At 54.0% G+C, this 15305-nt stretch overlaps 1 protein-coding gene across 1 annotated transcript in view; it reads right to left on the reverse strand.

The window, feature by feature from the left end:
- Positions 1–15305, reverse strand: part of CFAP74 (cilia and flagella associated protein 74) — an 81830-nt gene that overhangs the window by 19331 nt on the left and 47194 nt on the right. Inside the window, exons 18-22 of the mRNA NM_001304360.2 lie at positions 14404–14563; positions 5703–5767; positions 5030–5152; positions 3044–3165; positions 741–869 (exon numbers count right to left, since the gene is read on the reverse strand). Of these exons, the coding sequence (NP_001291289.1) occupies positions 741–869; positions 3044–3165; positions 5030–5152; positions 5703–5767; positions 14404–14563 (599 nt within the window). The remainder of the gene's footprint in view (positions 1–740; positions 870–3043; positions 3166–5029; positions 5153–5702; positions 5768–14403; positions 14564–15305) is intronic.

A 15305-nucleotide genomic window follows, 5' to 3' on the forward strand; every position in this document is an offset into this window, starting at 1 on the left:
TCCCCCACCAAGCTCCACTGAGCATCATTTGTCTGGACCTTGGTCCCGGCCCGGATGCTGAGGGCAGCTCTGGGGGGCTGGGATCGGACACAGGACGTCCAGTCTCCAAAGCACAACAAATGTTCAAGCGCAGAAATCAAAGTTCACCTGGCAAAAGCAGAGACCAGGGGATGCAGCCAGCAGGCCTGGGAAGAGCCTTGGATTAGACGAGGGACAGCTGGGTGACAGGGACACCCTCAAGACACAGGTAAAGGAGCAAATGTCAGGTGTGCACTGAGCTTGAAACAGAACCCCAGGGAGTTACTGGGAAAGGGATGAAGACAGGGAAGACAGCGGGGGAGTGCACGGACCGCAGGGTACCCGTAGCAAGCCAGAGCCTTATCCTGGGCCACCTTATCCCGGCAGGTAGCAGACCCTCAGTGGCCATGAGAGCCACCGGCCATGCATGGGAGACACGCAGCCTCCCAGTCTTTTCAACAACGAGGCTGGAATAATTGGAAACCTCTGTACAAAAAAATGAACTTCAACTCGGCTCACATCTTAAACAAAAGCAACCAAAACGGACCACAGACCCAGCTGTGACTGCCCCCCAGCGTCATGGCCTCTGCCCCAGAACACATCCCTGGAGGCTGATGATCCCGGCAGCAATGAGAACAGAGGAGTGGCCAGTGGCGAGGAGCGCCTCGGAGCCCACAACCTCCCACGTCCTCCTGTCCCGGCCTTGGCGTCCTGGCACCTACCGCGGCAGGAACTTGAGCTGCACGGAGTAGGACGACTGTGCCTGGATATAGCCTGTCTTGGGCAGGAGCTCCAGGTGGGCCCTCAGCTCCTTGCACACCTCGAACTTCAGGCGCAGGGCAGCTTTCGACCTGTGGGCGTGTCGCAGGGCACTGGGTCAGGTGCCACAGTCGTGATTCTGTGTGCGCTCAATGCCTGGAGTTATTAAAACATTTCTGGCACCCAAGCCCCCGAGAGGTGCTCAGAGCCCACCCACTCCAAGCCATGCACGTGCACCTCGACAATCGGAGTCCTCAAAGCCCTGCTTTGTAAGGGCTGTTTTTTCTGAAATGAAATCTGATGAAGAATTCTTAAAAATAACCACATCGAAACGGAAGCACGGTCCTAATGGGCTCTCGGGAACCAGATGCTTTCCGGGAAGAGCACCTGCCAGGCAGCCCCTGGGTGCGGGGCCCTGGAGGGGACATGAGGGGTGGAACCCCTCCCTCCAGGGCTCTGCCCGCCTCCTGCCCAGGGCATCCCCACATCCTGCAGCTCAAGCACAGGGCACGTGGGGGGCCTGGGACGGCCACAGGCCTCGGTTATGACAGCAGCCTCCAACCCAAGACGAGCCTGAGAGAGCCAAGGTACCCGCCAGTCACCTGGGAGGCCATGCGTCTGTCCGGTCCCTACCTCCGGCTCCCTTAAGCCAACGGCCTCCTCAGGACCACCTGGAGCCTCCCTGTTCCCACAGTGAAGCCTCCCTCCCCTCCCCCGTCTTGGAGCCTCTGCTAAACAGTGTTGTGGCCGCCCCGCCACAGCTGCCCCGGGCAATCCACGAGGGGGGACCCAGAGGGTGTGGCAGTGAGAAATCTCCTCCCTCCTGTGCTTCCATGCGACAGTCACCCATGCTGTGGCAGCCTCATCTCCGTCCATCACAGACCTGCCTCTGACCTCTGACCACTACCCAGAGGCCACCCACAGTGCGTCTGGGCACGCCAGCCTCTGCACCCCTACTGCTGGGCCCCATGGGAGGCGGGCGCCCGGGTGCTCAGAGACCGCGCCCTCCCCGTCAGGCAGACGCTGCTCTGCCTTCCGGTTCCCTTATGGGGCCAGAGTCTATACAAATGAGCACACAGCTACACTGAGGTACACACAACCACAGCCGGAGACCATCCACAGAGCTGGGCCCCACTCAGCCCTCAATGCCCGACAGACACGCCTGGGCCCTTTCTGTCAAGTTTCCAAGGCCACTGAGAGGCTGTAGTAGGACGATGCCGGAGGCGAGCAGACTCCACCGCAGACACGCCAACACACGCAGCTGGCTCCCGGGTCACCGCAGGCTGCACATTCCCGGCCCATGCCGGGCCCACAGGAGTCCGACAGCAGGAGGACAGGCGCCGCGGGAGCTGTTCCTACCCAGGTCACCGGGGAGAGGTGGCTGTGCCTGGGGCCGGTGCCCGGGGCCTCTGTGTCCGCACACCCTGCTCCTTGGTGCTGGTGGCACAGGGGCTCCGTCATGGAAACCCCGCAGGCCCAGCCTCGCCGTCCCTCTGCGCTTTCCCACCGGCGTGGCTGTTCAGGGCAGGCTGCTTGCTCTGATGTCTGGAGCCCTTGCCAAACCCTGCAAGTGGAGGCTTCCTCCTCCAGGCTCACCCTGCCTGTGTCCACGAGGGGCTGAGGACTCTGGCCGGGCCCAGGCGGGCAGTGCGTTTCCTGTGGCTGCTGAAAGGATTTGCCCCAAGCTTAGGGGCCCCACAACACAGAGGCACATTCATTCTCTCCACGTCCTGGAGGTCAGAAGCCAAGACGGAGCTAAGGCCAAGGTGCGGGCAGGGCCGTGCCCTTGTGGCTCTACGGGACAGGTTTCTCCTCTCCTTTCACAGCCTCTAGAAGCTGCAGTGTCCCCGGGCTCGGGGCCCTTCCTCCATCTTGGAAGCCGACAGTGCAGTGTCTTCAAATCGGCCTGACTCTGACCCTCCTGCCTCCCTGTGACGCCTCCCGTGATGACACTGGCGCCTCCCAGATGATCCTGGATCACCCCCCACCAAGGTCCCTCTCCCCAACCATGTCTGCTAAGCCCCCTGCTTGCCACACAGGATGCCGTTCAGGGCCTGGACAGCAGCCGTGGCAGCCCCAGGTGCCATGTCCCCGCTGGCCACTGGGGGGCTCACCGCGTGTGCACAGGCAGGCAGCGGCTCACCCCGTGTGCGTGGGTCACCCCGTGTGCGTGGACAGGAGGGGGCTCACCGCGTGTGCACAGGCAGGCAGCGGCTCACCCCGTGTGCGTGGGTCACCCCGTGTGCATGGACAGGAGGGGGCTCACCGCGTGTGCACGAGCACAGAGTCCTGGTAGAGCCGGTCATACATGCAGATCTTCAGGTCCACGCTGGGCTTCGGCACCCAGACCGGCACATCGATGGCCACGCCCACGACCCTGAAATGCAGCTGCATATGGACACAGGAGCTCAGCAACAGGAGTTCCTTGGGCACAGCAGGCATTGTTGGTGAGCACTGACACAGCTCCCAGGAGGAACGTTTCATGGGCTTGAGTTTTCTAACTCTTTGGGACGGCTGTGGCACTTTTCATATCATATCATTCAAAATATTCTTTTTTTTTGAGACGGAGTCTCGCTCTGTCGCCCAGGCTGGAGTGCAATGGTGCGATCTCGGCTCACTGCAATGTCTGCCTCCCGCGTTCAAGCAATTCTCCTGCCTTGGCCTCCCAAGTAGCTGGGATTACAGGCGCCCGCCACCATGCCAGGCTAATTTTTGTATTTTTAGTAGAGATGGGGTTTTGCCACGTTGGCCAGGATGGTCTTGAACTCCTGACCTCAGGGATCCACCCACCTCGGCCTCCCAAAGTGCAGGGATTACAGGCGTGAGCCACTGCGCCCGGCCAAATATTCTTTTTATTTTCGAAATGTTCAACTACTACTAGAACAGAATACTGGATCACCAAGTACCTACCAGTCAGCTTCATACTCATTAACATTTAGGTGTTTAAAAAAACCTTTCTATGGCCGAGCACAGTGGTTCACACTTGTAATTCCAGCACTTTGGAGGCCCAGGTGGGAGGATGCTTGAGCCCAGGAGTTTGAGACCAGCCTGGGCAGTGTGGTGAGACCCCCGTCTCTACAAAAAATACAAAACTTAGCCAGGCATGGTGGTGTGTGCCTGTGGTCCCAGCTACGTGGGAGGCTGAGGTGGGAGAATCGCTTGAACCCGGGAGGCAGAGGTTGCAGTGAGCCAAGACAGTGAGATCTGCTTCTCCCCAAGCACTGACTCCTGGGGCCTCAGGAGGTTAGAGAGTATGAGTGAGGTTTTGGGAGGGCCAGCAAGCCCCGGGCTGGGGAAGTGCAGCAGCCCAGCACGAAGCCGCCTAGGCAGTGGTACTGTCCTGGTGCTGTGAGGTGAGCCGAGGACTCTGAACACTGTCGAGGATGCCAGGAGCCTCAACCTGGGACAGGCAACCGCCCCAGCCCATGCGGGTGCATAGGGGGTGCAGAGAAATGTTTAAACATAGAAAGTTGTCACTTGGGGCTGGGCACGGTGGCTCACTCCTGTAATCCCAGCACTTTGGGAGGCCGAGGCGGGCGGATCACTTGAGGTCAGGAGTTCGAGACCAGCCTGGCCAACACAGTGAAACCCCATCTCTACGAAAAATACAAAAGTTAGCCAGGTGTGGTGGCACGCACCTGTAATCCCAGCTACTCGAGAGGTTGAGGCAGGAGGATCACTTGAGCCCAGGGGTTAGAGGCTGAAGTGAGCTGTGGTCCTGCCACTGCATTCCATCCTGGGTGACAGAACGAGACCCTAACTCAAAAAAAAAAAAAAAAAAGAACAAAGGCTCTGCGTGTGTGCACGTGTGTGTGTGGGCTCTGCGTGTGTGCATGTGTGTGCATGTGTGTGAGGACTCTGCATGTGTGCACGTGTGTGTGGGGGCTCTGTGTATGTGCGTTTGTGCGTGTGGGGGGGGCTCTGCATGTGTGCATGTGTGCGGGACTGCGTGTGTGCGTGTGTACGTGTGTGTGGGCTCTGCGTGTGTGCATGTGTGCATGTGTATACATGCATGTTTTTGCATGGGCATGCGTGTATGTGCTCACAGCATGCCTGCCTGTGTATGCCAGTGTGCGTGTGTGCACACTCGTGTGCGTGCGTGTGTTGTAAACTGTGGTGCCAACCATCCGTGCCACCAACTGGCCATCCCTGCGTGGGCAAATGGCGACCTTGTGGCCAAGGGCAGCTGCCACATGAGGCTGTGGAGGCAGGGGCCAGGGTGTGTGCGTGGCGTGGCAGCAGGAATACTCACCGTGGGGCACTGGGGGTTCTTAAACGTGACTTTGAACCTGGCTTGGACGTCGCCTGGGACGACCGGAGTGAAGACGATGGGCACCTTGATGGAGCTGAAGGGGCCAATTTCCCCTTCTGTTACCTGCACAGGAAGAGATGCCATGGGGTCTGCCAGGCTTCATGGCTTTTAAGATCCCTTCCCAACCCTCACAATGGCATGTTGCTGCAAGGATGGAAGGTGGCAGGACCCGTGTCCCTGGGTGGCCACTTGGCCACAGATGTCCTGGGCCTGGCCCAGCCCTTGGAGGACTTACTGTCGTGGGATCCCAGCCAGCGGAGTTGGAGGCAGCCTGAACTCCTCCACATCCTCCCCCTGCTCATGAGCTCATGGCCGTGTCCCAGCCAGGGAGGCCGCGGCCAGCATCCACCCCAAGTTTCACCCAGTGCCCCACACCCGGGAAACAATCTGTGGCTTGCGTCCTGCACAGCCGGAGGCGGTGGCCCCATGCCAGCTGAGATTACAAGAGGCCTGGAGGCTGCAAGTCCCTGGTGGACAAAGTCTGGCCTGTCTCTGGTCAAACGCAAGGGCCACCTAGCAGTGAGGGCCAGTGGGTTGGGGTGCAGCTGGGGCTGGGGGAAGGTGGGCGGTGTCTTGGATCGTGGCAGCTATTTTAGGGCCTGAGCTGGCTGACCTCCCCCAGCGTGATCTCCGTCTGCTCTTCGCTGGGAGGTATCACTGTGGTTAATCTCTCTGGTTCTGGAAGAGAAGGGGGATCCAGAGGTGAGGGTTGGCAGGGTGGAGGCAGTGTGGCCCAGGCCCCCTTGGGACGTGGTCACCACCTCCAAACCCATATCCTGGGCTCTGTTCTTTCTGAACATAGTGGAGCCATCCGTGTGGCCCCTTGGGGCACCCAGGCCCAGAGAGGGTGCAGCCAGTCCCCACCGTGCCCGGAGGGCTTTGGAAGCCCTTTCCCAAAGACCCCCATTTTCTCACGACCTGTTGGCCCAGGGCGAGGGTATTAGAGGCTGGAGTGGGAAGGACAGCTAAGTCCAGAAAATTCTAAAACAGTGTCATCTTTTGGGGATGTTTCTTCTCTTACCATCATATCTGGTAACCTAACTTCCCATAGCTGTAGCGTACTGTTCCCTACGGGTACCTGCTACTGGCGTGTTTGAGTCATCACTTCCCTGTGGCAGGCTCCTGGTTTCCATCTGCCACTGGGTTCTGGGGGCACCAGCCGGCAGCTGGTCAGCAGCAAGGCCCCGGGTAGCAGAGCTGTTTCCTTGCAAGTCTGAGCAGGACTTTTTGTTGACTTTGCACCTGAACAGAGGCAATTCGAGAGGCCACGCGCAGGTTGGCATTCTCCTTTGGCCTCTGTCGTGCTGCCCGGTCGGGTCAGAGCAGCTGGGCCACCAGCCAGGCCAGGTCACTGTGGAGAGCCCCCACGGGCTTGCCAGAGCCTGCCCCGGGCTCAGCGTCTGGACGGCAGAGCTCTTCAGGAGCCAGGTGGCGACTTTGAAGCACCATGCACATCATTTCTGGGGTCTGGAGTTGTAAAGGCCGCAGGGACCCCTGTTCTTTTTTTTTTCTTTTAGACGGAGTCTCGGTCTGTCATCCAGGCTGGAGTACAATGGTGTGATCTTGACTCACTGCAACTTCTGCCTCCCGGGTTCAAGTAATTCTCCTGCCTCAGCCTTCCGAGTAGCTGGGATTACACGCACCTGCCATCATGCCTGGCTAATTTTTGTATTTTTAGTAGAGACGGGGTTTCACCATATCGGCCAGACTGGTCTCGAACTCCTGACCTTGTGATCTGCCCACCTTGGCCTCCCAAAGTGCTGGGATTACAGGCGTGAGCCACTGTGCCCGGCCAAGGGTCCCCGGTTCTGAAAGTGGAAGGGGTGCGGCTGCCTCAGGAGTCACCACGGCAACAAGAACCTGGACCTGAGCGCAGGTGGTCAGATTCTGGGGCCAGCAGCTTTTTGGTTTTTAGAGACGAGGTCTCACTCTGTTGCCCAGGCTGGAGTGCAGTGGTGCGATCACTGCACCCTGCAGCCTCGGCCTCCTGGTTTCAAGTGACCACAGATGCATGCAGCCATGCTTGGCATATATAAATATATATATATATATTTATGTGTATATTGGTAGAGACATGGTCTTGTTATATTGCCCAGGCTGATCGCAAACATCTGCTTAAGCGATCCTCCTGCGTTGGCCCTCTAAAGTATTGGGATTATAGGCATGAGCTACCATGGCCTGGCCTCCTTATTCTAGTCTTTTCTTTCCTTTCTTCTTGTTTTTTTTTTTTTTGGCAGGGTCTCACTCTGTCACCCAGGCTGCAGTGCAGTGGTGTGATCACAGCTCACTGCAGCCTCAACTTCCCAGGCTCAAGCGATCCTCCCGGCTCAGCATCCTGAGTAGCTGGGACTACAGATGCATGTCACCACGCCTGGCTAAATTTTCTTCTTTGTAGATATGGGGTCTCACCATGTAGTACTTTTCAATGTATTAAGCATCCTTATTTGATATTTGATGCCTGATAATACCCATGTCTGAACCATGCAAGATTGCTGCAATTCCTTCCTTCCTTCCCTCCCTCCTTCCCTTCCTTCCTTCCCTTTCCTTCCTTCCTCTTTCCTCCCTTCCTTTCCCTCCCTTACTCCCTTCCTTCCTCCTTCCCTCCCTCCTTTCCTTCATTCCCTTCCTTCCCCTTCCCCTTCCTTCCTTCTCTCCCTCCCTCCTTCCTTCCCTCCTTTCCTTCCTTCCTTCCTTTCCTTTCCCTCCTTCCTCCCTCCCTCCTTTCCTTCCTTCCTTTCCTTTCTTCCCTTCCCTCCCTCCCTCCCTCCCTTCCTTCCCCTCCCTCCCTCCTTTCCTTCTTTCGACAGAGTCTTGCTCCTTCACCCAGGCTGGAGTGCAATGGCATGATCTCGGCTCACCACAACCTCTGCCTCCCGGGTTCAAGTGATTCAAGTGCCTCAGCCTCTCAAGTAGCTGAGATTACAGGTGCGTGCCACGATGTCTGGCAAATTTTTTGTATTTTTAGTAGAGATGGGGTTTTGCCATGTTGCCCAGGCTGGTCTTGAACTCCTGACCTCAAGTGATCCGCTTGGCCTCCCAAAGTGCTGGGATTACAAGTGTAAGCCACTGTGCCCGGCCAACCGCAGTACTTTCTGTTGTTTCTGTGTGAGTGATTTTTTTTTTATTTTTTATTTTTTTAAGGAATAAGTTGCATATAGTAAAATGGACTCTTCTTAGTGGAACTTTCTTAAGTTTTGACAGATTCATGTGGTTGTACACTCATCACAGCAATCAAGACACTGAATGGCCCCACCGTGCCCACGTCGCCCATGCCCCTTTCTAGTCAACCCTTTCCCCTGCCCCAGCAACCAGTGATCTATTTTGTCTCTACAGTTTTGCCTTTTTTTAGCCAAAATATTCTTTTTCTAGAATGTCACAAAAATGGAGTCACAGAGCTTACAGTCTTTTGCGTCTGAGTTCTTTCCCTTAGCATGATGCATTTGAGACTGGTCCACGGCACTGCCTCTATCAAAGGTTCATGTCTGTTTGCTGCTCGGCAGTGCTGTGTGGCAGGGACCCCACGGTTTCTCTATCCACTCCCCACGCGTGGGACATTAGAGTTGTTGGTTTTTGCCAATTGCAAATAAGCTCTCTACAAACATTCACATACAGGTTTTTGCGGGAATTTAAGTTTTCGCTTCTCTTGGTGGATACCTAGGAGTGGCCTTGGTGGGTGTCTGGCTTTGCTGCTGAGCGTTTCGCTGGTGGCCATGCCATTCTGCATCCCCAGGGGCAGCATTAGAATTCCAGCTGCTCCTCACCGGCACTTGCTATTGTTAAACTTGTTGTTCTTTGTTTATAATTTAGCTGTTCTTATAGGTGTGTAGTGGTGTCCCATTGTGGTTTTAATTTACATTTTCTTCATCTCATGTTTAATGATGTTGAGCGTCTTTTCATGTGCGAATTTCTCATCCACGTACGTATCTTCTCTGGTGAAGCATCTGTTCAGTCTTTTGCCCATTTTTTTTTTTTTTTTGAGATGGAGTTTCATTCACTCTCATTGCCCAGGCTGGAGTGCAATGGTGCAGTCTCAGCTCACTGCAAACTCCGCCTCCCAGGTTCAAGTGATTCTCCTGCCTCAGCCTCCCGAGTAGCTGGGATTACAGGTGTCTGCCGCCATGCCCAGCTAAGTTTTGTATTTTTAGTAGAGACGGGGTTTTGCCATGTTGGCCAGGCTGGTCTCAAACTCCTGACCTCAGGTGATCTGCTCACCTCGGCCGCCCAAAGTGCTGGGATTACAGGTGTGAGCCACCGCGCCTAGGCTTTTGCCCATTTTTTGACTGGGTTATTTTCCAATTGAGATTTGAAAATTACATATTTTGGACACAAATTTTTTATCGGATTTGTGATTTGCTAATGCTTTCCGCCAGTCTGTGGCTTATCTCTGCAGTCTCTTAACAGCGTCTTTCAAAAAGCAGATGTTCTTGGTTTTGGCGAAGTCCAGTTTACAATTTTTAAACCAGGGGCCATAATTTCAATGTTATGTCTAAGAAAAACCTTTGCCTCACCTAGGGCCACACATTCTCTCCTGTGTTTTTTTCGGGGGGGAATTTTATATTTTTAGGCTTAACTTTTAGGTACATCATCTATTTTGAGTAACTTTTGTTTACAGTGTGAGGAACGAATTAAAGTTAAACTGGAGGGGGGTGTATTAGTCTGTTTCACCCTGCTATAAAGAACTGCCCGAGACTGGGTAATTTATAAAGGAAAGAGGTTTAATTGACTCACAGTTCCACCTGGCTGACAAGGCCTCAGGAAACTTACAGTCATGGTTGGAAGGGGAAGCAGGCACGTCTCACACAGCGGCAGGAGAGAGAGAGGTGAGAGCATGTTTATAACATCATCAGATCTCATGAGAATTCACTCACTATTATGAGAACAGCATGGGGAAAACCTCTCCCATAATTCAATCACTTTCCTCTCTCCACACGTGGGGATTACAATTTGAGACAAAACCTGGGTGGGGACACAGAGCCAGACTATATCAGGGGGCTTATGTTTATCCAATTGTTATGGCCTCACTTGTTGAAAAGACTGTTCTTTCTCCAAGCAATTACTTTTGCACCTCTGTTCAAAACCAGTTGACTATAATTGTGTGTCTATTTTTGGATTCTCTTGTTCCGTTGGGTCTCTATCTCTGTTCACCACCACACTGTCTTGTTACTGTACTTCATAGTAATCTTGAAATCAGGTAGTGTAAGTCCTTGAAATTTGTTTTTTCAAAATTGTTTTGGTCACTCTAGGTCCTCTGGTTTTCCATATAAACGTTATAATCACCTTGTCAATTTCCATTAAAAAATCTTCCTGGAATTTTGGTTGGAATTGCATTGATCCATAGTTAGTTCTGGGATATTCACATTTTAGTGAAGTGTTCCAATGGTTAGTTCCTACAGTATAGAAAATCTGCTTGATGGCCAGGTGCAGTGGCTCACGCCTGTAATCTTAGCACTTTGGGAGGCTGAGATGAGTGGATCACTTGAGGTCAGGAGTTTGAGGCCAGCCTGTGTGATGCAAACCGCCTCATGCAGACTGCAGAGAATACCATTCAGGCTGAAAGAGCATCGGTGAGCGGCCAACGCACAGGCAGCCTCCCTCAGAAGAGCACAGCTTTGGCTCAGCACGCAGGGAATTCCACGAGAAGCATAGCTCACTGCAACCTCCACCTCCCCGCTTCAAGAGATTCTCCTGTCTCAGCCTCCGGAGTAGCTGAGACTACAGGCGCCTGCCACCATTCCTGGCTCATTTTTTGTATTTTCAGTAGAGATGGGGTTTCACCTTGTTGCCCTGGGTGGTCTCAAACTCCTGACCTCAGGTGATCCACCCGCCTCGGCCTCCCAAAGTGCTGGGATTACAGGCGTGAGCCACTGGGCCCGACCAAGGTGTTTCCAGTTCTGAGGCCAATTTAAAGGCCAGGGGTCATTGTAATGAGTAGAGAAGAAAATAAAGGAAGAGGATAAAAGGCTAGAGTATAAAATTAAAAAAAAAAAAGAAAAGAAACAAAAAAGCAAGACCAATGTAAAGCACAAAATAAGATGGTAGAAACGAATCCAAATATATCAATCATCACAACACATTTAAATAGATTAAATGTTCTAAGAAAGTCAAAGACTGTCAGACTGGATAAACAGACCAAAACTGTATAACACATTGATGAGCAAGAAAGAAAGAAAAAAGGAAGGAAGGAAGGGAGGGAAAGAGAGAAAGAAGCAAAGAAAAAGAAAGAAAGAAAGAAAGAAAGACAGACCTAGTTAAATGAGGAGATAATGGTTATGAATTACAAGACTCAATTTTTTTTTTTTAAGAGACAGGGTCTCTGTCGCCCAGGCTGAATGCAGTGGTGCAATCACAGCTCACTGCAGCCTTGACCTCCTGGGCTCAAGCCATCTTCCTGCCTTTGTCCCCCAAGTAGCTGGGACTACAGAGGCACATCACCACACCTGGCTAATTAAAAAAAAACTTTTAGTAGAGATGGAGTCTCCCTATGTTTCCCAGGCTGGTCTCAAACTCCTGAGCTCAAGCGATCTTCCTGCCTTGGCCTCCCGAAGTGCTGGTATTACAGGTGTGAGCTGCTGCACCCAGCCTCAATACTGTTAAGATGTCAGTTCTCCCCAAATTGATCTATAGATTCAATGCTATGCCAATCAGATTCATGCTATGCTTTTTTGGTAGAAATAAAAAAGCTGATTCTACAGTTTATGTGGAAATGTAAAGGACCTAAACTATCCTGAGGCCCTAATGCAAATATTGTGGAAAAAAAAGAACAAAGTTGGGTGACTTACACTACCTGGCTTCAAGGCTTTGTCTGAGTCCATGATAACCAAGACAATGGCTCTGGCATAAGAATAATTAAATGGATCAATTAATCAGAAAAAAGAGGCGAGAACTATATAAGCTCATGCTTATATGGTCAATTGACTTGCTTTTTTTTTTTTTTTTGAGACAGTATTTTACTCTTATAGGCCAGGCTGGAGTGCAATGGCGCGATCTCAGCTCACTGCAACCTCCGCCTCCCGGGTTCAAGCAATTCTCTTGCCTCAGCCACCCAAGTAGCTGGGATTACAGGCGCCCGCCACCACGCCTGGCTAATTTTTTGTATTTTTAGTAGAAATGGGGTTTCACCATGTTGGCCAGGCTGGTCTCAAACTCTTGACCTCAAGTGATCCTCCTGCCTCGGCCTCCCAAAGTTCTGGGATTACAGGCATGAGCCACTGTGCCTGGATGGTCAATTGATTTTTGACACGGACAACGAATGGATCGAATGGGATAGCAGAGTCCACTTGTGCCGTGGAATACACAAACACGCACCAGGGGAAATGAGCCTCAGCCCTGACTTCCACCACAAGCAGGAGTGAATTTGAGGTGGATCATACACCTCAACACAAAAGCGATGTCCTATGTCTTTATGACCCTGGAGGAGAAAAAAATTGCCTAAAAATCATAAAAAACAAATTCCAATAGAAATGACTGGTAAATATGCAAAGACTGGACTGAAGAACTTTGATTTGAGAAAAGACGTCATAAAGGGAGAGGAAGGCCCAGCCACAGACTCGGAGGCAGCACCTGCAACATTCCTCAGGGAGGAGGGCTGGAATCTGGGTGCATGAAGAGCTCCTATGAATGAATGAGAAGAAGACAGACAATCCCACAGAAGAACAAGGGATAGCCTTAAACAGAGATGTCACACCAAAGAAGATACAACTTGTAAATGGGCCCAGGGAAAGACACGCAATCTCACTGGTGATCTGGGAAACCAAAAAGCAACATCTCAACAGCAGACCGTGGTGCAGGCCCCCCAGACAAGCAGCCCCGGGCCGTGTGACCTCGTGCTCCTGCGGATGTGAAGCAAGGCCCTCAAGCCCAGTGTGGCCCCGTAGGACCCTCTGTGACCAGGCAGAGCTGGGCTTCTGGGCTGTCCAGTAGGGCAGCCGTTGCCCACAGGTCGCTATGGAGCATGTGAAATGTGGCCCTTGTGGAGGAGGACCTGAATTTTCACTATTATTTAATTTGGATCAATTTAAGTTTAAATAGCCAGATGTGGCAGTGACAGCCACGCTGGACAGCACAGTCTTGTACACTGTTGGTGGGAGTGTAAACTTGCACAACCACTTTGAAAAAGAACTCGGTGGGCTAGGCGAGGTGGCTCATGCCTGTAATCCAGCACCTTGGGAGGCTGAGGTGGGCAGACAGCCTGAGTTCAGGAGTTCCACACCAGCCTGGGAAACATGGCGAAACCCTGTGTCTACAAAAAAATACAAAAACTAGCCAGGTGCGGTGGTGCGTGCCTGTAGTTCCAGCTACTCAGGAGCTGAGGCAGGAGGATTGCTTGAGCCCGGGAGGTCGAGGCTGCAGTGAGCTGTGACTGCACCACTGCACTCCAGCCTAGGCGACAGAGACCCTGTCTCAACATAAAAAGAACTCACTTTGGTATTAGCTGATGCCAGTGAGGCTGGCTATGCCCTGTGATGCAGGCATGAGCCCCAGCCAGGTGCCCTGTGGGAACTCACACACAGGCCAAGGGGCAGTGCAGAACGGCCTTCGCAACAGTGTGTACCACGAACGCTCCCAAGTGTGCACTGGCAGAAGGACGGATCTAGAACCCGAGGCTCTCTCAGGAAAGGAAACGCCACGCAGTGGTGAGGACAGGAAGTGCGGCTCACACCGGAAGTGCGGCTCACACCGGAAGTGCGGCTCACACCGGAAGTGCGGCTCACACAGGCTGTGGAGAACCGGCCCAGCTCCGCGCTGAGCTGCAGGGCGTGCGGAACGCGCACCACGCGAAGACAGACAGGAGGAGGACGGAGGTTTCTGGATCTCGATGCGTATGTGGGAAAACGATCAAGAGAAGCAAGGAGGAGACGCAAGCGATTCCCGATGGCGGCGGGCTGCAGGGCAGGAGGCATGGGGAGGGCAGGGCCCGCCCGTTTCTCGGCACCTCTCCCCGCTGGTGCGCGTCTAACAACAGCCACAGCTGCAGAGCTAGACAGAAGCCCCCCGCAGCCCGGCCCCTCCAGGGGGCACCGCAGAGCCTCTTCCCCGCCCTGTGCGGCTCCGCCCGTGCTGGGCCTGCTGGGCCAATGCTGGAGGTGCCTTCAAGTCTTCGGTTAGCGTCAACGTGAATGTACATTTTCGTCCACTCCAAAAACAACACTTAGTGGCACATAAGAATATTTTCTTGCTTAACCGTCACTTAACATCGAAGGCCTAGGAAAATTCTCTACTTTCCAGCCCTCCCCTGGGCCCCTCAGCCCCCTGGAATGCTGCCCTGAGGCCCTCACCGCCCGCCCACCCTGGCTTGGCCTGGCAGCCTGGCTCACCTGCGGGCTGCTCCTCCTCCTGCTCCTTGTCCAGCTTCTCCAGCTCCTTCCGGCTCTGCATGTCCGCCTGGGAGGACTCCGTGCCCTCTAGCTGCTGCTCAGAGAAGCTGGTGGCGGCTTTGTCATACAAGCTTTTATCTTCGTAGGTCAGGAGACTGCTCTAGAGAGGAGAATCAACATCCTGGCTTGGGAGGTTTCCCACCTCCTTTTCCCAGTCAGCTGCCGGAACTCCCATGAGGACAGGCCGTGTTGGGGGCTGGACCCTGGCTCCAGCGTGGCCCCTCAGCTGCCTCCTCGGCTGCCTGCTCTCGTCTCACCCATCCTGGTTGTGGGATCACAGCAGCAGCTCACCCAGAGACTCAGAGTCACCCCTCAGCCTCCCTCACTCCAGGCCGGGTGGGCATGGCTGTGCTGCCCCAGCCTGGGAGTGTGAGCCACATCTTCCTCTTGGTCCAACCCTCCTTCCTCCTTGGCTGGCTAGAGGCTGAGGCTTCTCTCCACCTGAGCCTTGGGACACCCATACCCGTGACAGGACAAGACGCGCTCACACTTGGAACAGGTGCAGCTGTGGCCATGGAGTGCACCTGTCCAGTCCTCCCACCCCCACACCTGGGGCTTCAGAGATGCGTCGGGGGAGGCTGGGTCTCCTGGGGCCCTCGGGCCTGGAGCTGCTGGCCAGCACCCCTGCTGCTACGTGCCTGAGAAAGGGAGTGTCCTGCTGCTGCTGCCCCTGAGGCCAGGTGACTGCAGGTGTCCTACAGAAGAAGCTGGTCTCTTCTGCTTAGGCTGATTTGAGGAGGCCCCCACACTGCCCTCCTTCTCCCAGGCCCACTGTTGATACCCTCATGTTGTCACCTCTGTTCACCCACATGGGACTGGATTTGGGGGGCAGGTCCCCACAC

The sequence above is a fragment of the Homo sapiens genome, chromosome 1 (genome assembly GCF_000001405.40).
Source record: "Homo sapiens chromosome 1, GRCh38.p14 Primary Assembly".
Lineage (NCBI taxonomy): Eukaryota > Metazoa > Chordata > Mammalia > Primates > Hominidae > Homo > Homo sapiens.